This window comes from Homo sapiens, chromosome 1 (genome assembly GCF_000001405.40).
Source record: "Homo sapiens chromosome 1, GRCh38.p14 Primary Assembly".
In the NCBI taxonomy this organism is placed as follows: Eukaryota; Metazoa; Chordata; class Mammalia; order Primates; family Hominidae; genus Homo; species Homo sapiens.
Genome location: NC_000001.11, coordinates 70,075,267 through 70,100,161, shown reverse-complemented (window position 1 = coordinate 70,100,161; position 24,895 = coordinate 70,075,267). Strand labels below are relative to the sequence as shown.

At 35.1% G+C, this 24,895-nt stretch overlaps 1 protein-coding gene across 6 annotated transcripts in view; it reads right to left on the bottom strand.

Annotated features, from left to right (window-relative positions):
- The window catches only part of LRRC7 (leucine rich repeat containing 7), a 576,443-nt gene that overhangs the window by 44,203 nt on the left and 507,345 nt on the right, over positions 1-24,895 (bottom strand). For all 6 annotated transcript variants that reach the window (NM_001330635.3, NM_001366839.3, NM_001370785.2 and 3 more), the window contains 2 exons: positions 23,864-24,085; positions 10,343-10,435 (listed from right to left, as the gene is read on the bottom strand). In NM_001330635.3, coding sequence (NP_001317564.1) covers positions 10,343-10,435; positions 23,864-24,085 — 315 coding nt within the window. The remainder of the gene's footprint in view (positions 1-10,342; positions 10,436-23,863; positions 24,086-24,895) is intronic.

Below are 24,895 nucleotides of genomic sequence, written 5' to 3'. Positions count from 1 at the left end.
TTACTTTATATGTTTTAACTTTTATTAATTGCTTAGTATTTCTACTATTGTTTAACAATTAAACATGTCTGGGATGTCTGTCTATTGTGACTGACAGTGCATTGCATCCTGTTTATTTCTTAGTGAAATTCTTGAATTTTCTTTTACTTGCTTGTCATATGTTCTTTTAAAAGTCAATAATCATATTCATTCACTTACAATCCTTCTGGATTTCTGGACTCTTAGGAAAAAATAAAAGAAATATTTACCATTTATTTTATTTTATAAATCCTTTAAAGCCTGTATTTAATATGGGACCCCAACTTGTGGTGAATATTTGAATTGCTAAGCTTTGTACAGTTTACTGATCCAGTCAGAGTCCCTAATGGCTTTTTCTCTCAGCTTCACAAATAACATAAAATAGTAAAAATGATTAAAAACAGGAGTGGGAACTGTAGGAGGCTGTGGATTCTTCTTTTCAGCTATTCTTAAAATAGTATTGATAATCAGGTTTCTGATTATAATTCCTGAAGGCTCCCTCAAAGCCCCTCTGGTTGTATAATTTTTTGACACTATCTGCACTATTTTAAAATCACAAATTGAAAAGTGAAAAATTCAAGATATACAATCATGTCATCTGCAAACAGGGACAATTTGACTTCCTCTTTTCCTAATTGAATAGCCTTTATTTCCTTCTCCTGCCTAATTGCCCTGGCCAGAACTTCCAACACTATGTTGAATAGGAGTGGTGAGAGAGGGCATCCCTGTCTTGTGCCAGTTTTCAAAGGGAATGCTTCCAGTTTTTGCCCATTCAGTATGATATTGGCTGTGGGTTTGTCACAGATAGCTCTTATTATTTTGAGATACGTCCCATCAATACCTAATTTATTGAGAGTTTTTAGCATGAAGGGTTGTTGAATTTTGTCAAAGGCCTTTTCTGCATCTATTGAGATAATCATGTGGTTTTTGTCTTTGGTTCTGTTTATATGCTGGATTACATTTATTGATTTGCATATATTGAACCAGCCTTGCATCCCAGGGATGAAGCCCACTTGATCATGGTGGATAAGCTTTTTGATGTGCTGCTGGATTCGGTTTGCCAGTATTTTATTGAGGATTTTTGCATCAATGTTCATCAAGGATATTGGTCTAAAATTCTCTTTTGTGGTTGTGTCTCTGCCTGGCTTTGGTATCAGAATGATGCTGGCCTCATAAAATGAGTTAGGGAGGATCCCCTCTTTTTCTATTGATTGGAATAGTTTCAGAAGGAATGGTACCAGTTCCTCCGTGTACCTCTGGTAGAATTTGGCTGTGAATCCATCTGGTCCTGGACTCTTTTTGGTTGGTAAGCTATTGATTATTGCCACAATTTCAGATCCTGTTATTGGTCTATTCAGAGATTCAACTTCTTCCTGGTTTAGTCTTGGGAGAGTGTATGTGTCAAGGAATTTATCCATTTCTTCTAGATTTTCTAGTTTATTTGCGTAGAGGTGTTTGTAGTATTCTCTGATGGTAATTTGTATTTCTGTGGGATCAGTGGTGATATCCCCTTTATCATTTTTTATTGCATCTATTTGATTCTTCTCTCTTTTTTTCTTTATTAGTCTTGCTAGCGGTCTATCAATTTTGTTGATCCTTGCAAAAAACCAGCTCCTGGATTCATTAATTTTTTGAAGGGTTTTTTGTGTCTCTATTTCCTTTAGTTCTGCTCTGATTTTAGTTAATTCTTGCCTTCTGCTAGCTTTTGAATGTGTTTGCTCTTGCTTTTCTAGTTCTTTTAATTGTGATGTTAGGGTGTCAATTTTGGATCTTTCCTGCTTTCTCTTGTGGGCATTTAGTGCTATAAATTTCCCTCTACACACTGCTTTGAATGCGTCCCAGAGATTTTGGTATGTTGTGTCTTTGTTCTCGTTGGTTTCAAAGAAGACATTTATGCAGCCAAAAAACACATGAAAAAATGCTCATCATCACTGGCCATCAGAGAAATGCAAATCAAAACCACCATGAGATACCATCTCACACCAGGTAGAATGGCAATCATTCAAAAGTCAGGAAACAACAGGTGCTGGAGAGGATGTGGAGAAATAGGAACACTTTTACACTGTTGGTGGGACTGTAAACTAGTTCAACCATTGTGGAGGTCAGTGTGGCGATTCCTCAGGGATCTAGAACTAGAAATACCATTTGACCCAGCCATCCCATTACTGGGTATATACCCAAAGGACTATAAATCATGCTGCTATAAAGACACATGCACACGTATGTTTATTGCAGCATTATTCACAATAGCAAAGACTTGGAACCAACCCAAATGTCCAACAATGATAGACTGGATTAAGAAAATGTGGCACATATACACCATGGAATACTATGCAGCCATAAAAAATGATGAGTTCATGTCCTTTGTAGGGACATGGATGAAATTGGAAATCATAATTCTTAGTAAAATAGCACAAGAACAAAAAACCAAACACCGCATATTCTCACTCATAGGTGGGAATTGAACAATGAGATCACATGGACACAGGAAGGGGAACATCACACTCTGGGGACTGTTGTGGGGTGGGGGGAGGGGGGAGGGATAGCATTGGGAGATATACCTAATGCTAGATGACGAGTTAGTGGGTGCAGCGCACCAGCATGGCACATGTATACGTATGTAACTAACCAGAACAATGTGCACATGTACCCTAAAACTTAAAGTACAATAAAAAAATGGTAAAAAAAAGAAAAATTCAGTGAAACTTTCTTTAACCAATTCTGCTAAAATAAGGTTTTTGAAGTGAAAAATTGTTTGTTGTAAGCTATATTCAGTCAGACTGATTCTCATAGGTTTAATATGGTTTTATTCAATGGCTAACGCATCATTATATGGTCAGAATATGCTAGAACATTTCTTAGAGGTGGCTCAGGAAGTCAGAAAGGCTGGGGGCAAGTGCCAGAAGACACTACAGTTGTGAATTCTTGATATGTTGACTAATAAAGTGGCTCTTAGGCCAAGGCTGTGCATAGGTGGTGTAGAGCAGAATGAAAGGGGTGGGGGAATCATATTTAGTCTCAATATTTCTATAATTATTTAAAAATTTACAGTGCTGATATTTTCATTCATTACCTATGTGTTTTTAAAAAGGCATAGGTTAAAGAAAAAGGACACTGTAGTTGTACACATCTGAGACTGACAGTGTATTTAAAGGAGGATAATTATGCCACACAGAGTAAAAGCATTGAGACTGCCTGTGGCTGATGAATGAAGGGGTAGCAGTTCACATTCAGCAGAATCAGCAAAGATTTAGAAGTAAAAGTCATTCTCGATTCTCTCTTCGTCTCTTTGGCCATTCTCATTTTATGGCCCAGAAATGAACACCTTCAGGGAACTGAAGCCACCTCAGCTAATGCCACCACCCCAGCTGAAGCTACTCCAGAAGGTGCAAGTCATACAAAACTCGAACATATCATGGGTCTTTTTTTTTCAGTCTAGGAATAAGCAAAGGTTGCCAAGTCTAGGTACTCCATTAAGTTAGTCGTTCTGAGTCAAGGTAGAAACATTCGTTGACAGAGAGGACAAAGGGAACGTGTGATTTTTTTTTTTCTCTTTCAACAGAGAACTCAGTATACCTCAATGAACAAAAAAAGACAAATAAATAAATATGACTTTTCTTTAATCATTTTAATGTTTAATTCCACACTAGAGAGGTTGCTTGTTTTCTATTAATGAATGTCCTCAGGGTTTAAATGATAGTCCCTTTTAATGGAAATGTGGTTTGTGCATGGCGATGGGTTTATTCAACACGATTTTTAAATATAGGAAGCAGTTCTCTTTTCCACTGTACTTAGAATCAGATACTTAGACTATGTAAAACTATACTATTTATATTGTAAAGCTAATGAATAATTAAATAAATGCATAGGCAAGCACGGTGGCTCACGCCTGTAATCCCAGCACTTTGGGAGGCCGCGGCAGGCGGATCACCTGAGGTCAGGAGTTCGAGACCAGCCTGCCCAACATGGTGAAACCCCATCTCTACTAAAATACAAAAATTAGCTGGGCGTGGTGGCGGGTGCCTGTAGTCCCAGCTACTCGGGAGGCGGAGGCAGGAGAATCGCTTGAACCCGGGAGGCAGAGGTTGCAGTGAGCCGAGATCACATCACTGCACTCCAGCCTGGGCGACAAGAGCCAGACTCCATCTCAAAAAACAAAAAACAAAAAAAAACAAAAAAAACAACATGCATATATGTGTACTTTGGTACCTTATTCAGTAATCCTAAACTACTATTACTTACTCTTTAACTCTGGATTTATTGGTTATTCTTTTTAGTAATTATGTAAGATCTTATTGATAAGCTAATTTTAAGTGCTTTCATATTTTGATTAAAAAATGTTTAGGTTCCAAAGTACACATATATGCATTTATTTAATTGTTCATTAGCTTTACACTGATACTTTTTAGTGACCTTACTTTTTCACATTTATGCCCCAGTGAAAGTTTCCTGAAGAATTAATGATACTTATTTGCTTTCATAAGCTGAAATTCATGTCTCCTTTCTATTATAATGTCTAGATACCGACATTTTTCAATTGGCTAAAGCATGCTACCATACCTTTTAAAAAAAGCTTGGTATAAATCGTCACACCTGTAGGAATACTATTTGTAGGAGAGTGTGAAGAGTACATTTCATCTCTACCAATGTTTCTGAATAGATCTTGGACTTTTTACTCCAACATTAAGACAATGAACTGAAAGGTGAAAATTTATTTTTTATTAAAGAAAGAACTCATCTCACTTTTAATGTCTTCAAACAACCTAGTGGCATTCTGAACCTCAAACTGCAATATGACTAAGATGCAGCTGAAGTAATCAGTTATGTTTATAAAAGAACTTATGCTTGAAATTTATTTTTAAAAATCATTTTATATATAAAATAAAAACTGTTTCAGCGTCTTCCTAAATTTAGTCTGAAGTACAAAAACAATTTGATCTCTATCCCTTGCTCCTGAATTTTATTTTCACATAATGCATAAATTTTTTCAAATTACTTTGCCTTACATAATCACTTGAAGTGGAATTAAGGATGTGACACATATATAAATTATATTACTTACAAAATGAATTTAGAAACATATACAATAAATTGTATTTGTCTAGTAGCTGCACAAAGTTAAGGAAATGTGCTAAAAGTAGTTTAATATTCATATAGTAAATATACATCTTATGCTATATGGAGTTTTAAACAAATATGTTTGCTATTCTCATTTTTTATATCCATGGAGAAAACCTGACAGGAAATAGGCATATGGTATGTACCTTTTTTATAAGTTAAAAGCATATCTTTAGCAAGCTTTTGTTTATGGATCACCCAATGTCATGAAGTTGAGCAAAACTGGAACATTATTCTTGTGCATTTTTGAACTTGCCGTTGCCCCGCATGCCTCTGAGTATTGTTATCCTTGGATAAAAGTATTAAATAAAAGCTTCAATTCTGCATGTCTAAGGGTCCTTCTTTTCTTAATATTAATCATGTAAAAACTTTTATTTGATGTAATATCCATATCCACACAAAAACAATGGAGTGAAAAGAGGAGGGGCTTAAGTCCTGTTGCAGGCTGTTTGGGCATCTGGAGGCAATAATTTAAATGTAATGTAAATAATTTATAGTAATTTATTCTGAAATTCTAGGACATTTATTTAGAGTTTATTGGTGATAATAGTTTACATTTTCTATGCTCCTAATATTCTTTCGATGGCTTGGAATTTTACCTGTACCATAGGCAAATTAAGGCATTTTAAAAAAACCATGAATTTGTTTTTTTCTATCATTTCTATGGCTACATTTAGATGGCCCAACTTAGTGGAAATATGGATGAGCTCTCTGGCATCTGTTGAGCTTAGGCACTTATGACTATTCTCCACATAAATGGTGGACAGTGGAGGATAACTGATTCTCTGGCCCCAATGCCCCAGTATGTATATTTGCTGCTGTCAGGTCCTTTGAGGATGGGCTGAATCCATAAAACAGCTTTCATTTTGATACTATGAGTAGATAATTCTTCATGCAACTGTTCAGTGTAACACCTTTACACCATATAGGGAAAGGGCTATAAGTCTTCTTTAATCTCTTTAAGATCCAGGAGCTTAGTTCTTCTTCCCTCAGATGGAGCAAGGAAGAACATGAATCCCTGAATGATGAGTTTTGTGAATGCATCATTAAAAATTCTCTCATTTGCAGAGTCCTGGGTTGCCTTATAAAATGTTACAACAGCATGGCATCAGTTATCTATTAATGCAGTTTCCTCTTTCTAACAACATCCTGTGGAAATTATACTGGTAAATTCCTTAAATTTTGCAATTGGAAATTATTATTTTATGAGTGCTTACATACAAGCAAAGAATATTGTGGCTTGCTCCATTGGCAGAATCACCACTGTAATGATACCTTAGTCCACAAGTTATATAATTGCTTAGCAATCTTCTCTGTACAGTATGCTCCTAATTATCTAGGTTCAACAGAGAATACATGCTGACTCCCAAGGACTTGTTGAAAAAAATATCTAGACTATGACTAATTAGAGGGCTCTGTAATACTCTCAATATTAGAATATCATATTAGTCTCAACTCTACAGGGTATAAATTTGTCATGTGGCTCTTCTGCTAAGTGACATTTGCAGATAGAGGCATGTATTATAATGCTTATTAAGAAAAGCATCTGGAGTCAGCTCAGTTTTGTTTCAAATCTTATCTGCCACAGATCAGCTAAATGACCTTGGGCAAGTTAATTAACCCCTCTGGGCCTCAATAAAATGGGGAATAATAATACTACTCAACTAACAGAAATAGTTATGAAGATCACATAAATTCATAAATTCATATTTATAAAGAGCCTAATACAGTGCCCAGCATTTTGTATATACTCAATAAAAGGCCATTATTTTTATTGCTTTACTATCAGATTTGTTGGCTCAAAATCTTTCATCTCTCTGCAGTATCTTGACAATTTGACAGCAATGTTTCTTTATTGTAATGAAACAGATCATGGCTATTATACACTTCATTGAGAGGACAGAGGCAACTAATTTCCATCCAGTGTTCTACTGCTTTCTCTTTCCAAGTATGTAAAAGCAGTTTCTGCTTGACAGTGAACACTGAAATAATGAGTTCTATGGTGAATGAACTGGTGTTTTTCACTACTAAACATTGTTTTGACAATATCAACTGCAGGGCTAATTGTGCTCTATCCCTTTAACTGGAGGAGCCAATATTTGATCAAGACTACCTTGGATCTTGAAGGGGAGTTAAGTTTGCTAGATGAGATGCTGTTCTAAATGCTCAAAGTCTGGTAAAAATATTCCCTTATATTTGGCTTAATCCTGATTCCTCCATAAAGCCTCAGTTAACTTTTGGGCTGCCCTAAGTGTTTTTCTGCAACAATCTCACATTACCCCAGAACGTAGATCAGAATGTCTGCCAGACCGAACAATATAGTTCACTTTTGCTGCAGCTGTGGCTCTCAGCTTTTTGAGATGACTGTTTCAGTCTTTCCCTGTCTGGCTGTAATCGTTTTGGATGCTATCTCACATTGGTCCTTGTCATTTCCCTGAAACTAGTTTCCATCAACAATAATGAAGAGAATGGAACAAATGTATTAATTAACTTCAGTACAGAAAGTCCTCAGTACCTCTAAGACATTCAGATGTTCTTGGATACTTAGAATTTTGAGCAGCAAAACATTCAAACATCCATGAGCAGTAAGGAAAATAATATAGTGTATTTCTGAGAATATTCCTAATCAATGACTTATTTATTTGAAGAGAGTATGTATCATATTAAAGTTTAAACTTTTGCATGACTAGACTCCTTATAAGTCTACCTCAGGCTCAGGCAGTATTTTTTGATCTTAAACATCTGTTTAACTTGGTTCCTCTTACTTCCAGCTGTAAATCAGCCATTTCATGAAAAACCAATCTGTTTTTCAACATTTTCATTTTCTTACTGTTTAATATTTTTAGGTAGTTTCAGGCACTGGGTTCTACTCTAAATTTTATGCAACACTTTCAGAATAGGGCACTAGGGCTAAAAAACACAGCTGAATTTCCAATAGATTAATCCCTTTCCTTGTGAGTGGACTGAATTCTTATGTAAATTGTCAGTCAGTGTCTTTAGATCCTCTGAACAGTTAACCAAAGTGTCCCCATATGTTTGGCATGCCACCAAAACTGGTCAATAAGTGAAAGGCAGTATTGAGATTCTTCTGTAGATTTGGAACTCCTAGTTGCTCCCACCAATTTTATAATAATAGAGATTTACTTTTCAGATTATGAATGATTTTAGAGTGTAATCAGCCAAAGAAAAGTGCTTTTTAGGGGAAATCTTTCAATGGACGCATTATACAATTCAAGTGCTTTATCTGTTACATTTAACCAAAAGAGCAAATTATAAGATCATAGACATAGTTCAGTCTCACTAGAGTCATCAAAATGTTACAAATGAGAAATTAAATGAATAGCTATAAAGTGTTCATATTCATCACAGTGGAAGAATTGCAGGCAATGATTTGAAAGCCTGAGATCTAGTCTCTTTCAGTTGAAAAGAGCAGAAATGCAACAGTATTCTGACATCTTGACTACTTAACAATCTATTCATCCTTAATTTAAAAATATTTTTTTACCCTGTACCTTCCAAAAATATAGTGAAAAGATTTATATGCTGGTGAGAAAGAACAGAAAAATATGTCTTGAATTTCAACTCTCTTAAGTATCATAAGGTTAGTGACTTTTCATTGAAAGAATTTATGAAAGAGATGTAAAATGAAAGACAAAAAGAGGAGTCAAGATAAATAAGACATAATGATTTGAGGTTTTAAAAAATGTCATCATGCTTCTGATAATTTTGAACCTTTATGCTTCTTTAAGATGTATCAATAATTTATTAAAATTAAGTAAACAGTTGGTCTAAGCCATGAATATTTTAATTGTAATAAATCAATGGTATCCTCAACATCATTTCAAAATGGAAATATGCTAGTTACCTATGAACAGATGTTTCCAACTGGCATTCCCCTAATTATAGGATTGCCTCATATACATTCCTTTTATATGAGTAGCTGCTCCAGCCTGTTGACCAAAGGAGCTCCCATCCTTGGTCACTGGAGATTTTCCTCTGGTCTCTTCATTCCTAATGTATATAATCATGCGACCAATTCTTCCTTTTGGACCAACCTCTTCTCCTGACCTTCCCCAAAACGGAAAGGAAGAAGGGTAGGAAGAGTATAAGAAACAAGATCACTGGGAGGAAGATGAGGAAAATGTGGTGTTAAAGGCTCTGTTTCGGGCTACAGAAAGCTCCAGAGTAATGGCATCCCAGGTTTTTCAGAAGTAGGTCTCATAATCAGAAATTAATCTGTAGGTTTTTATAATTGTGATGAGTTGAGAGGATATGGACCAGGTTGTGACTCAAAGGTAAGTACAGAGCCTGTGGAGGTTTTATTCATATTTAATTTTTTTCCTTCTTCATCATCCTAAAGTTTTATGGGGTCAGTTAATGCAATTTGATGAGGTTGAAAGTAGATAGCTTCAATTATCATTGAATAATTATTAATTGATTCAAAGCTGAGAGTATTAAACACTGATGGTAGCAGGGCAGGTTCTATAGCTCCAGGTAAACATTTAAAAAATAAAAAATCAGGTGGTTCACATCGGCGTCAGGCAGGTCACATGTGAGCAGAGGCAACATCTTGAATGTCCAGGAAATGGCTGAGGTTAGAGTTGGTGTGCCTTAATTCCATAGTTTGACAAGCAGGGGTAAGTATGAGAGGAGGACCTAATTCTTCTGCTAATGCTAACTGATTTTCTCATAAAAAATTTGTTTTCTGTGGTTTCTCAATTCTACAGTTCTATTAGCAAAATTCTTTACATGCTTGATGAATTGAAGAGATGGCAGTCAGCTTGCCTTTGCATTGAATTACTATGTCATCATTCTGCTACTGTGAGAAAACAGTTTCCTAAATAAGTGACTTACGAGTTAACCTTTGGAAACAACTTGTTAGAAATTGTCTATATACCTTTCTTTACAAATATAGACAACTGTGGAGCAAAAACAAAAACAAAACACAAAGCCTCCCCACAAAAATATAAAAAATCTCTGCCTTTTAAATAGAATGTTTAGAGACTTTTCCCTTTATTCTTAGTATGTGTCAAGCGCTGCAGTAAATTCTTTTATCCCTGTGCTGAAAAAGTTTCTAATTGGCTTCAGAGTTACTAACTAGCTCATGAAAACACAACAAAAACACTTGAATTTTTTTCTAACCTTTGTTACTGTAGGAGATAGTATTTTTCTAATTAATATTGTCAACAAGATATTCATTTCTTACCTTGTCAGAAGGTTTGAATGGATTTCCTTGTCCACTAATTCCACCACTGATACTAAATCCAAGGCCAGGATTCTTTTCTATTCTCACACAAAACTATGTAAAAAAGATATAAAATGGTAAGTAAACAGTTATCAAAGCTAAATATTTTCAAATAACTGTATTTCAGTAGAAAAGATTCACATTTCACTTGGTTTCTTAGGGTTAGCCTATGTTGAGTTGATACACAAAAGACAATATAAACTTTGACAAAATGTTTAATGTTTCTATATGCATCAGTTATGATGGAAACTCGCTTGAAATTACCTGGGCAAGAAGATATTAGCAAGTACTTATTTGTTACCATGTACAGGACTAAATTTTGATTAGCCATTTTTAAAAGTTAAAAGTCTTATAAACACTTAAAATACTATGCATTATCTTAGCTATCAACCATAAATGCACATGTATTCAGGTTGATTAGAAAGGAGTGTCTGAATAAGTGAAACAAAACTTTAAAATGTAGAGTGAAAGAAAATATGGCTATTTAAATAAATTGTGCCTGCTTTGTAGTAGAGTAGATTAATTCATCTCCTTGTTAGATAATTCTTTGTTTAGGAATATTAGATCTTTTAGTTTGAGAAAGTAGCCACAGCTTGTGTGAGGGTAAAAAAAAGGAAAAATGAAATGCTCAGTGAAGAGTTTCAAGTCTAGCAGCAGCTCCTGGAGTAGGAGTTAGGAACCTTAGAAGAAAGGGGAGAATAGTGTGATGAGGTCTAGTTAAAGAAAGAGGTCAACAATATGGAGACATTGCTAGGGAAAGAGAATGGCCAATACGCAACACAAGGGCAAACATTCTAATGTTCTGTTATATTACCTCCCCAACATCCCAAATCATGAATGAAAGTCTATTAAACATGACTTTTGTTTTATAGTAGTATGGGGGAATGATGGCATTAGGGGTAGGGTCCGCCTTGGGATAAGGCTGTAGTAAAAATTATAGCAATAATAGAAGTTAATAAAAAGACTGTAGATCAAGAACTCAGCAGAAATGACATCAGTGCCAGGGATGACCTAGAGAAACTCTAACAAACCTAAGAATTCCTGGAGACCCTGAGCAGGAGATGTGTATGTGGGCTATGGTAAAAATGTTAGTTCTCCAGGTAAAGTGGGACAGGGTGATCCCAAATAATTGAAAGATTTCGGACCAAGAGGCAGTATACATTGGTTACATAAAGAAAAAACACTTTGTAACTTTATTTTTTATTATTTACTTATTTATTTATTTTAGTGACAAGGTCTTACTCTGTCACCCAGGCTATAGTGCAGTGTTGCAATCAGTTCACTTGAACTCCTGGGCTCAAAGTATCCTCCTGCCTCAGCCTCCCAACAAGCTGAGACTTACAGGTGTATGCCACCATGCCTGAATAATTTCAGTTTGTTTCTTTTTCTAGAGATAGAGTCTTGCTGTGTTGCCCGGGCTAGTCTCGAACTCCTGTCCTCAAGTGATTCTCCCACCTTGGCCTCCCAAAGCACTGGAATCACAGGTGTTAGCCACTGTGCCCAACTCTTTTACAACTTTTAAGTACAGAGTAAGTATTAGGTGAACCAAGTGTTACCAAAGGTTAGCAGGCAAAAGATTAATAAAGAGTTAAGAAAAAACATAAGATGACACACTTTGGCATATATTTTGTATTTACATAGCTACATACTGGAAGAATTCTTAAAAGTGATTGTAAACATTTGCTTTCTTAAGTAGCCCATTTTTACCCCCAGAATTCTTGCTTAGCCCATTAATTTGCTTATGGCAAATGTAAATGCCCAAAACACTCTTTACATTTTTATTGTGAGCTATCTTCAATCCCTACCTCTTAGTTCAAGGCAAACTGAGTCCTATTTCTGACTTAATTAGCACATATTGTCACTAGAACCTGGATCAATTAGGTTTGTCTGTTTAATAATCCTATACTTAATTCACTGTCATATTTCACAATAGTAAATATAATGTTTAAATATTAGATAGTTTACTGGCAACACAAAGATGAAAAACTATGCACTAATGTGATTTTTATGTAGTCATTAATGAATAGTTTCTTAATTATGAGTAAATGTACTATAAGTACTGTCCCTTATTTTATTTTAAAGATGTTTAATTATAACTTTTCCTTCAATTGAGCTAGATTTGTTAAAACTAGTTATCATAGGTGGTAGAATTTACAGTTTATAATACTTTGTATTTTTATATTGATCCTAGTTTATGAATATAAACTTATAATAGCCTGATGTAGCTGAAAGAAATATTTTAGCCTTATTCAGTGTGCTAGTTGATCTCTTTGTTATTATTTATTAATTAGAAAATGAGAAGAAAGCAACCAATATGATGAAAACATTTTTCTTTTGTGTTTTTCAATGTTTCTATGCATTTCCAATTATATTATTTAAAATTGGGGTTATATCTTTCTAATGTGAACATTTCATATTGCCACAACATAATATGCAGAAGGTATATGCAGTTCTGGCTTTCTCCAGGCCACTATAAAACTCAAAGGAAACAAATGTAACAGGTTTAATTTACAAAGTAAATTGCTGAGAGTAGTTTCCAGTTGTTCTCTTTCAAGGTAGCGACTATATCTATTTTATATTATTGTAAATCTGGAAGGCACTAAAAATCTAAGAGAAACAAATTTCACATGTGCCAAGTGTATGAAGAACTGCCTTAATATTTTTTAATAAGAGAAATAATGATGACACTGTAGTTTTATAAATGTGACAAACAAACATAAATTCTGATCTGAGGCTAGACTGCTCTTGGGCATGCCAAGGTATGGCTAATAGGTTGTATTGTGACTACTGGGTCTCATAAAGCATGTCAGAGAGAGTATTCCTCTCACATATAAGTAGTTCCACCTGCCTGCTAAGGCCCAAAGAAGCCATAAAATGTAAGAGGACAGAATACCTTACATCCAGGAAGCAGTCTGAAACTAAAGAGGATCAGCAAAGAGGAAATGCAGTGTTCTAGTAAAAGATTAGGTCTAGGAAGCTAATAAATAGCTTATTTAATGAGAACCATTATTTTAATTTTCTTTTAATTTATTTTTTATTTTTTTGAGATAAGGTGTTGCTGTTTCTCAGGCTGGAGTGCAGTGGCGTAATTTTGGCTCACTGCAGCCTCTGCCTCCCATCTCAGTCTTTGGAGTAGCTGGGACTACAGGCACATGTCACCATGCTTGGCTAATTTTAAAATTTTCTTTGTAGAGATGAGGTCTTGAACTCCTGGGCTCAAGTAATTCTCCCATCTCAGCCTTCCAAAGTGCTTGGATTATAGTCGTGAGCCACCACGCCAGACTCAGTTTTCTTTTAAGAGACCGGTTTTAAAGAATGAATGGTTTGGCCGAAAACATATGCAGTAGTAGTGCAATCAATGGTCTTTCAGAGTCTGCTTCCATAATTCTACTTTACTTGATAACTTCTGGTCTGTGTTAATCTTACTCTAATTACAATACTGGGTCTTATTTTGGAAAGGCTTTTTTAATAAAATGGATTGTTACAAAAATTAGCTTGGCATGGTAGTGCACACCTGTAGTCCTAGACACTCAGGAGGCTGAGGCAGGAGGATCACTTGAGACCAGGAGTTTGATGCTGCAGTGAGCTATGACTGTGCCACTGCATTCCAGCCTGGGTGAGCCCTCTCACTAAAATAAATAAATAAGTAAATAAATAAATAAATAAATAAGAATAAAGGCTAAAATTCTCCCTGCCTTCCTTAATAAAAAGTATACGATGACTCCTTGTTAAAATACATGATGAGTTTTAGAAGGAATGTCAGTTATTCAAAGAGTACCTCAATTATCAATGACTTTGAAATAAACTACTCTGGAAAAATGTTGTAGCTTTGAAAATAAAAACTGTTGCCAAAATAATGATTTATGACTTTATTCCACAAATATTTATTGATTCCCTACTAAGTACCAGGCAGATAAAAATATCCTTGACCTCAAAGAACTTACATTCTAATGAGGAAGATAGATAGCAAACATAAACAACAAATAAGTAATTTCAGATAGTGGGATGAACTGTGGAAAACAGCAGGAAAGGTAGTAGAGAGTAATTGAAATGGAATGAGGAGTTATTCTACTTATTTATTTACTTTAAGCTTATTCTTGCCTCAGGAAAGAGCTATTTTTGATGGAGTAGGTAAAAAAACCCTCTCTGAGTATGTCACATTTGAGCAGAAATGTGAATGATGCCAAAGATCAAACAATGAACAATAAGAAAAATGAAACACTATCCCAAGCAAAGGGGACAGCAATTATAAATGCCCTAAAGATGGATTTAGGGCATACGTCAAGAAACAACATAGATCAGTTTAATAGAATAGAGACTCCAAAAATAAATCCTAACATTTATAGTCAGATGATTTTGACAAAGGGTTCAAGGTAATTCACTGGGAGAAAGAAGAGTCTTTCAGTAAATGGTGCTGGGACAAGATACCCACATGCAGAAGAATAAATCTGTACTCATATCTCACACCATACACAAAAGTTATGTAAAGTAGACCAGAGGCTGAAACATAAGAGCTAGATTATAAAACCCTTTGATGAAAATACAAAAGGAGTAAAGTTCATCACCTTAGATTAGGCAATGATTCTTAAATATGAAACCAAAGATGATATAAGAGATTGATATGTTGGACTTCATAAAAACTAAAAACTTTTGTGCTTCAAAGAAGACCATCAAAAAGTGAAAAGAAAACCCACAGAATGAGAGAAAATATTTGCAAATAATATATCTGATTAGGGTTGTATATCCAGAATATATAGATAACTTTTACAATCCAATAATAAAAAGACATCCAAATTTAAAAATAGGCAAAATATTTTTAAAGATGTTTCTCCAAAGAAGATACATAAACATTCAAAAAGCATATGAAAATATACTCAATATCATTAGTCATTAGAGAAATGTAAATCAAAATGACAATGAGATACTAATGAACAGGATGACTACAGTACAAAAGACAAACAATAATAAGTACTGGTAAGGATGTGGAAAAAGTGGAACCCACATTCATTGCTGTTCGGAATTAATATGTTGTAACCACTTTTAGAAAAGAATTTGGCAGTTCCTCAGAATGCTAAACATAATTACCATATGACTCAGCAATTTCATCTCTATGTATCTACCCAAGAAAAATGAAAACATATATCTCCACACAAATTTGTACATTAATGTTCACAGCAGTGCTATTCTTAATAGCCAAAAAGTAGAAACCCAAATGTCCATCAACCATCAACTGATAAATGCATAAGCAAAATGTGGTATATCCATACAATGGAATATCATTTAGCAATGACAAAGAATGAAATACTGATACATGCTACATTCAGTTCCTTATGCTAAGTGAAAGGAGCAAATCACAAAAATACATGTATTGTATGATCCCATTCATATTAATTGTCCAGAATAGGCAAATATATAGAGACAGAAAGTAGATGAGTGGTTGTCTAGGGCTGGAGGGAGTATGGAAAGTGACTGCTCAAGGATGCAAAGTTTTTTTTTGAACGATGAAAATGTCATAAAGTTAGATTATAGTGATAGTTACACAACTGTACAAATGTAATGAAAACAATAAATTATACACTTTAAGCAGATGAACTTTACTGTATATAAATTATATCAATAAAGCCATTAAAAAACAAGGTCATCATGACAGAGCTAAAGAAAGAATAGAAGGAGAGGAAGGTGGGGCTAGATCTGCAGGGACACTATACCATAGTAAGGATTTAAAATTTATTCAGAAATGTTGAAAGCCACTAGAGCATTTTAAGAGGAAGAATGGTGTAATATAATTTATGTTTATTAAAAAAGATCACTTTAGTAGTGGAGAATAGACAAAAGGAGGTAAACTGGAAGAAGAGAAAGCAATATGGAAGCTTTTGAAGTAGTCAGGTGTGAGGTTACGGCCAACTAAGATGGTAGCTGTGTGGGTGGTGAGAAGTGGTGGGTTCAAGACATACCTTGATGAAATTGCTGTGGATTGAGTGTAGACTGTGAGGAAGGGGAATCAAGGACGTTTGGTCATATCAAAAGGGTGATAGGCCATTAACTGAAATGGGGAAGTAGGTTTGGTAGAGTTAGCAGCAGGAAGTGGTTTTCTAAAACCATGCTAAGTTTAAGAAACTCATCAGACATCCAGGATGAGATGTCAACAAGTAGCTAATTGCATATAAACTTCTGGAGTGAAGGAGAGAGACGAAGGCTGGGGATACAAATTTTGGAGAAAAAGGTCAAACTACATGGCTGAGAGGTCAGATGAGATGAGGATGGAGATTTGACGATAGGACTTGACAAAAGCAGAAAGAATGCTTCATGGTATGTAAATTAAGCTTGAAATTAAAGTTACTGCTACTTTTAGCTCCTGGTTTTATGGGTTATTATATAACAGCAGTTTTATGATAAAGAGTGCTATGCAATAATAAGCTATTATAATTTTTCATTTTGACTTACATTATGTACATTACTTAGCCATACAAAATACACATAAAATTTCTCTGCATTTTCCAAAATTTCTGATAAGCCCATGAAATAGGCTCAAAAAGGAAACAGTGATTATAAAAATGTATACATGTTAATATTCAAGGATAATTAATATTTTTTGAAATACAAATTCTTCTATATTCAAATCTTTTCCTCTTGTGAATGAAAGATTCAAATCCAGCTAAAATTCCTAGTTAAATCTTTCCAAAAGATGTACTGGTCAGCTGGGTGCAATGGCTCACGCCTGTAATCCCAGAGCTTTGAGAGGCTGAGGTGGGTGGATCACTTGAGCCCAGGAGTTCGAGACCAGCCTGGCCAACATGGCGAAACTCCATCTCTACTAAAAATACCAAAATTAGCTGGGTGTGGTGGAGCATGCTGTAATCCCAGCTACTCGGGAGGCTGAGGCAGGAGAATTGCTTGAATCCAGGAGGCGGAGACTGTGGTGAGATTGCTCCACTGCACACCAGCCTGGGTGACAGAGGCTTTGTCTCAAAAAAAAAAAAAAAAAAAAAAAAAAAAAAATGTACTGGTATCAAGATTGACTAATAAAATCCCCTGATGTAGCACTTTCTAGGTCTTTCAGAAAAAATTAGCTGATTCTGTATGTATCTAGGAAACAGAAACTCAAATGCATTTTTAGTCTGGAAATAAATTTTAAAGATTAGTCATTTCATTTCCTTCATTTTGGACTTAAGGAAACCAACAAGATAATATGTATTTAGTGCAACATTGAAATAAATCTTTTTATTCCCACTGCAATGTTTACTGCATTCTACCATATGACTGCACACAACTTATAAAGTCAATTGATAGAATTTCTGATGTTGAGTCACACATTCTCTGTGTCAAACTATGAATTACAAATTCAGAACTGAAGCATTATTTTGATGACTGGAGAATAAAATTCTATGGGGGAAATATTCACAAATAGCAATTCTTTAAGTGGGACAGGATAAGGCACAGGATGTCCCTGAAATAACTTGAGTAAATAACAGAGATTAAAACTACATTAATACCTATTTTACAAATACCTTTACTGAACTATTCCCTTTTAATTAAAAAATTTATAATTTAAATAAAACAAATATCTCCAAATGTTTCTTCTTACACCACTCAGCAGAATGTAGTTTTCTTCACCTGCACACAATAAATGAAGTCCTCACCTGGAACTCTTGAGTGCTCTTTGGGCAGTTGACCAGAGCATCTAATCTAAAGAGAAGTCTGAAATCCTGTCTCTCAGCTAACTGTTTTATGTATTCCACATAATATTAAGTATTAAAGTGATTTCTTCCAGGATAGACTACAGCATCTCCTTGTGAGTATGTTTTGGAACTTTTTTTCCCTTAAATATGATGGATGCATATCATTTTTTATAACTCTCTGAGGCTGATTCTAATGTGAGCTTAGAAGTTCTCTTTCAGGCACAAACTTTAATTTGCATGTATACTTGCAGGCACTGGCAGGAGACAGCCATGGAGCTCCTGCTATTCTGATGTGTTAGGTTGGTTGGGCTCCTGCCATTTTGATATGTTAGGGAGGTCCCCTTGTCCAGGGCAGACATGGAGTGAAGGGTGCATTTTTCCATCGTTTCACTCTTCCAATATGAATTTACTCTTGACTTGTGTGCTTGGCTACTCTTGACTTTTCCATCGTTTCACTCTTCCAGTGTCAATTTACTCTTGACATGTGACGCAGGCTGCAGCATGTAATGTGGTAGACTCATGAGACTGGGTTCTAATCCCAGCCCAGCTTCTACATTGTGTGACCACAGGCAAGACATTGAACTTATCTTAGTCTTAGTTTTGTAGTCTATAAAATGGAAACTGCTCTACCTATATCACAACATTATCAATTAAATTAAATCAGTGAATACATAAAAGGGTTTTGAAAGGTTTGAAGCATCATGCTGATGTTTTTCCTTCTTATTTCTGCTTTGGCATCTATACTATCTACTTATTTAAATATACTGTGTCTTGTATTATACATTTGCAAAAGGGAGAAACAAAGCTGATGTTAGTTTCTTTTAAAAATATCCAACAGCTTATGGGCAACTTATGTATGCTTTTAAATAGTGATATTCTCAATATATTATTCAGCTGATAAATTGTTGAGCTATAGAACATCTAAAGCAGTGCTCCTCAACCTTGGCTACACAATAGAATCACCTTGGGGAGTTTTCAAAAGTCTCATTGCCCAGGTCACATGCAGCCTATTAAAATCAGTTTATCTGGGGATGAGAGCAAGACATCAGTGTTTTTTAAAGCCCCTCAACAGATTCTGCAGCTGCGGTTAAGAACAATTTATATAAAGCATTACCATATTGTGAAGGGGAGGATAAGGTGGATGGGATCTTTAAGCTTCTTCAGTTACACTGGGACACAAAGGAGAGATCTAATAGGATGAATATTCTGATGAAGGGTTTTCCATGTGGAATGGGAGTCAAACCTTCACTTTCTGGCTGTTTTATTCAGTTCACTACTTAATACAACTCTGACTTTTACCCTCTATTATGTTTGTAAGTAATCTAAACGGTTTATGCACTAAAATCTCCTTTTCAAGTAAAATCCCCTGATAATGAACTTCAGGTGACATGCACATGGTTTTTGCTGCAGATATTATTTGAAGTCAGATTTATAGTCTACAGAAATTAATACACTGAATCTGGGTAACATTTTATAGTTGAAACATAACTTCCATATATTTAATTTAAACCTAGAGTTGAAAACAGACTTGATACTCATTATTTCTGAAAAATAAACGTGAAAATAAGTGCATTAAACCAGAAGTTTAGGTTTCTAGAGTTCTTGAATATTTTGTCCTTTTTATTGTGATGGGTAGTTTGAAAGTTTAGATGGTTTTATCACTGAAGAGGAGCCTCAAAGCTTACTAAATGCTTCTTCATGGTTAAACAAAGTTCAATACTCCGCTTACATAACAAATGACACTCATTCTAATTCATTCAATGTCGTCAGTTTTGGCACTTATTATATATGTTCATTTCCACATGGAACTTATTTTAATCAGGTTAAAAATACACTAGTTCTTTGGGTGACATTAAGGGATACAGAGGTATGTTTTCATTAATAATAAAAGTTTCCATTTGTTCAGTAGCTTTTTCTTTTCAAAGCAATTGCAAGTATTCATGTGAGTTCACTTGAACACTCCATAAGGCAGTTCTATAATTCTGAGTTATAGTTCAGGCAGGTTTAATTAATATCATTTGACAGAGAGGGCATTGAGATCATGTGGTGAATTTTACAGTGAGATTAGGACACAGGACTTGGACTGGGGTCAGAAAAAAACCTGACTTAAAATTCCAGCTTGGCCAATTACACTTTCCATAAATTATTTTCTCTCTGCCTTGGTTTCTTCACTTGTAAAAAGAAAATAAGATTATTATGAGGATGAAATAAAATAGTATATGTAAGCAGGACCGGTTATATAATTAGTTGGGCCTGATGCAAAATGAAAAAGTGGGCTCCTTGATCAACAACTATTAAGAATTACAAGATGGTGACAGCAGGGCATTAATCCAAATGTGGGGCCCTTTTAAGTGCAGGACCTTATGCAACTCTACAGGTCACATGCCTCTGATGCCAGACCTGTGTGTGAGAAATAGAGTGTAAAACACATAGCACGTGCTTAATATATGGTAACTGCTGTCCCTTTCTTTGCTATTTTCATTCAGATTTCCTTTTCCTGAATGAAAAAATATGTATTCACTGTAATCAGATTTTGTTTTACCTGTAGTATTTCAATAAGTGACTACTGTTTAACTAAAGTTTCCAAGCTTTACTTTAACAGAAATTATTGTGTTGTATTATACTGAGTAGACTTTCTTTGTACCACGTTTACTGTGTCTCCTTGCTCTTAAAAATGTTGAATAATTTTTTTCCATATTGTACCTGACCAAATTTACCATTGTTGTTAGATAATTTAAGTTGAACTTTGCTTTTCTCTTTATGGCTCTTTTATAGCACCACTAGAAATGTCTTATTAAAATAGACTGTTTTGATTTATATGCCCCAAATCTACATTAGAAATTTTATGTTACCTCACTGCTCTTTGCACTTAAATCACTACTCCATAATTTTCATGTGAATCTCCATAAAGTCTTTACATGTTTTAAATGTTCTCCATTTTTTTCCTGGTTAAATTTGGAATAAAAGTCTTCTTTTAAAACACACAGCCACATACACTTATTAAAAAGGTCTCAATTTTCAAAAGAAATATAACTTAGGAAAGTAAAACACACATGAAATAGTTTCATTATGAGAGTGAAATATATAACCTTTCAGCCTCTTTTAATGTTTCTTGGTTTGTTTTTCTATTTGTAGATGAAGGAGGCTGGGACTGATAATCATTAAGTTTCTTCAAATATTTGAATTCTTAAAATATTCTATTTCTACTGTTTTCTGTTTCTATACCCTCAGTGCTAAGCTTACGGGGAGTGTGTGTGTGTGTGTGTGTGTGTGTGTGCGTGTGTGTGTGTGCGCGCGCGCGCGCGCGCGTATATGTAGAACTGTATTATTTGACTCTGACAAATTCTTTTTGAATGTTGTTGGTGGGTAGCAATGTTCTCATTTGATCAGGAGAGAAACAGACGCTCAGGAAGAGTTAACAACTTGGCCAAGGACAAGTGGCTAATAAACATAAACATGAAACTAGAACTCCAAATTCTGAGACCTAGTCCTAGTATCTCTTTCTTGAACACTAAGCTAAATGAAGAAGTGGAGAGGTTAGAAAAAGAAAAAGAGATGAAAGAAATCAGGGTAGTAGTCAGTGGTGTGCTGGAAAATATTTAATAAACAGCTGGTTGGGGTTTGGAGAGTGCCCTAATTTGGAGTGTTTGCTGATGTTCCTGGTATAATTTTTCCCACAACTTCAACCTATTAATATGATGTCATTGAAGGTGCCATTGGGAAGAGGAGCACATGACAATGTGCCAATATGAGCTGGCCAACTGTGAAAACAGCTTTAAGAAACTGACTCAAGGTTTATAACGGGATGACAGGTAACATAGTTTGGGGACCAGAACTGGTTGTTTAAATGCCTTTAGGCTTTCTTTCACTCAAAAGTCTTTTTTATTGATACATAATGATATTTGTATATATTCATGGGGTGCATGTGATATTTTGTCACATGCACAGAACGTGTAATCAAGTCAAGGCATTTAGGATACCTATCACCACGAGTATTTATCATTTCTCTATGTTGAGAACATTCCAAGTCCTCACTTCTAGCTATTTTGAAATGTACAATACATCTAAAACCATTTCAGCCTGAAACCAAGGCAGAAAAAACTGAGACATCAAAAGGTGTTATATTTAAGTCCCTTCCTTAACATATAGGCAGTTCTACAATTCTGAGTTATAGTTCAGACAGGTTTAAGCATTCAACTGAATGCTTAAATTTTATCTCTCAGTTTGAAATGTACTTGATGTTATCAAGCTGTGAATGAAAACATTTGAGAGCTACTATAAATACATTTTTTCTGAAATAATCATAATGTTCTAAACTCAATACATGTGTAAACTTTAAAACTTAGTAATCCTCTTACTAGCCAAACTTTATATAATTTACATTTTTGGGGAAATAGTATTAAAATAGCCTTTAAATTTTGGGTGTTCAGAATAATTGCATGCTAACACTAAACCTACTTTTCAATGTAGGCGAAAACCGATAGCATTAATCTCAGTGCGTTTTCAAATGCATTGATTCTGGGAGGAAAAAACCATGTAGCTGTTAATAAGAATAACTAAATCAGAGAACTGGTTTGAGTTATGATACTTGTGGGCAAGTCATATCTATGAATAATTTTTTAACCTCCTAAGATGCCTTTGGTAAAGCATAATTTAAAATTGTATTAACTTTTAAGAGTATCTGGAGAATTAAAAACCCCATATCATTATCTGATTAAAGGCACCTGTCTGGTTTATGATACCTTAAATTCAACACTTGACCTAGACTAAGGCAGGAGAGGGAGAAGATTATCTTTACAATGCACCTATGATTCTGAGAATGATTAGTACGTAATCTAGGCTTCAAGAAGGATATTACAAAATAGAGGAGATGTTTAAAGCCCTTGGAATCCAAATGATAAATGGCTCTTAACAATATAAAGGGAAAATCTGGAGAATGAAGTTAATTTTGATATGTTTAGAAAGTCAGGTGGGGTGATATGAAAAACTTTGATAAGTAATAATAAAATGAAGCTTTTATAGACCATATTAAAAGTTAGAAAAGTCAGTAGGAATGTTGCCTATCTATCTGAATAATGAAATAAGAGAAATTAATTTTAAGTGTATTAAGATCTTAATGTTTTACTTTCTAAGATTAATATAGTTCAATAGATGCAATCCCACTCAGTTTTCCAGTCCTAAGGAACTAAAACAGATACTACAATGGAAAAGCAAATCCTAATTTTAGATAGGTTTGAAGAGCGCAATTCTTTTTGCTACATGGCAGTTATCAGTAACTTTTGAAGCATGTCAGAAACATTTCCCTTCTAACTGTTCTTTATAATTATCTTCATAGCAAAGCTTTATCTCTGCACCATTCAACAATCAGAAGATAGGACTTTTAAAAGATATTCCCACAGATGGGGGAAATAATATAGTTTACTTTCACACTGAAGGTTTCAACAGCAGACTTGGTAAATATACCTAATCCATTGAAGTCCTTTATAACATTCAAAATCTGTACTGTAGAGCTAAATTGGAGTTAGGAGTGGGTAGGAAAGGGTGTAGGATGGTACTGGAAAAACTATTCTGCCCCATCAATTTTTCCTTTTGTAAAATGGGTATTTTACCAACCATAAATTCCTATATGTTGTAGTCCTTAACCACTGGAAAGAATGATAAAATCCCCACAAAGAGGGCCCTACCCCATTCAACATGGTGATGGCATTGTGTCCTGGACCACATTAATGAGGGAAGGCCAACCATGGATTCTTTGGACTTTTCTTACCTGAAGATTTTTCAGTAATAAAGAAACACTTCTCACCTGCTCTGGATATCCATCCATACTCCTTTGCCCTTTAGTTTGAATTAAGCACCGTCCAGGCTGAGGTCCCCGGGTGGCCTGTGAAGAGGGGATCTGAATAGGCAATGGTGACTGAAATTGCTGGATGGTCACTTTGTTTATATTTCCTTCATACGGCTGCTGCTCCCGGCTGCGATGCTGAAGGCTTTGGGACCCCATCAACGTCTGGATGTGGCTGCCTGCCTGTGGAGAAGATAATCTGTCAGGCAAAGATTCATGGTGCTGAAAGGATGTGATTAAAGTAGAAAGCACGTACAGAATACCTCTCTGGTAAAGCGGCACCATTTGGGCTCTCAGCCATGGCCAGAAAGGATAATGAAGAAACAGTAAGGGTCTGCCTACTGTGGTTTGTGAAAATGTTAATATTGGAGCAAGGTCACATTAAATACATTCATAGTCATCTGCTGGCTTGCCAGAGATAATTTTAACCTCACTTTAAAGGAAGAAAATTCAGTTTGAAAAATCTCAGGAAGAAAATTAAGTCGCAACTTAAAAATAAAGGGGAGCTGTATCTGGTATTTCATCTTGAAATATACCAGAGAGTTACAGAGAGATGTTAATATATGTAACACCATGGGGAAAATGATGGAAACAGTTTTCTGATTCTGAAGCAAGTAAGTTTGTTCAGATGAGTAAAACCAATATTTATCAATTATCACCATTATTCAAATACAGCCTTTGAAATCTCTAAGTTACATTAAAAATTAATCATGTGATAAATTCCTGTGGGGGCACTAGCTATGGAACCGTCTTCGAAATGAGCTCTCTCTGCAGAAGATCATCTAGTCATGAGCTTTCAGAGAGATTAATCAGTACCCTTTATTTAAACCGATAATGATCATTTCTGAATTCTTAAAGGTGGAGGAGAGAGGGTATGCTTGCTGCGGTCTCTCATCTTTAAATGATACGATCATACCCGTACTTCTTTGTTGACTCCTGTTTTCTCACCTTCATTTTAGCACCAGCTCCTTGCGTCATTCTATCTCATGTCTT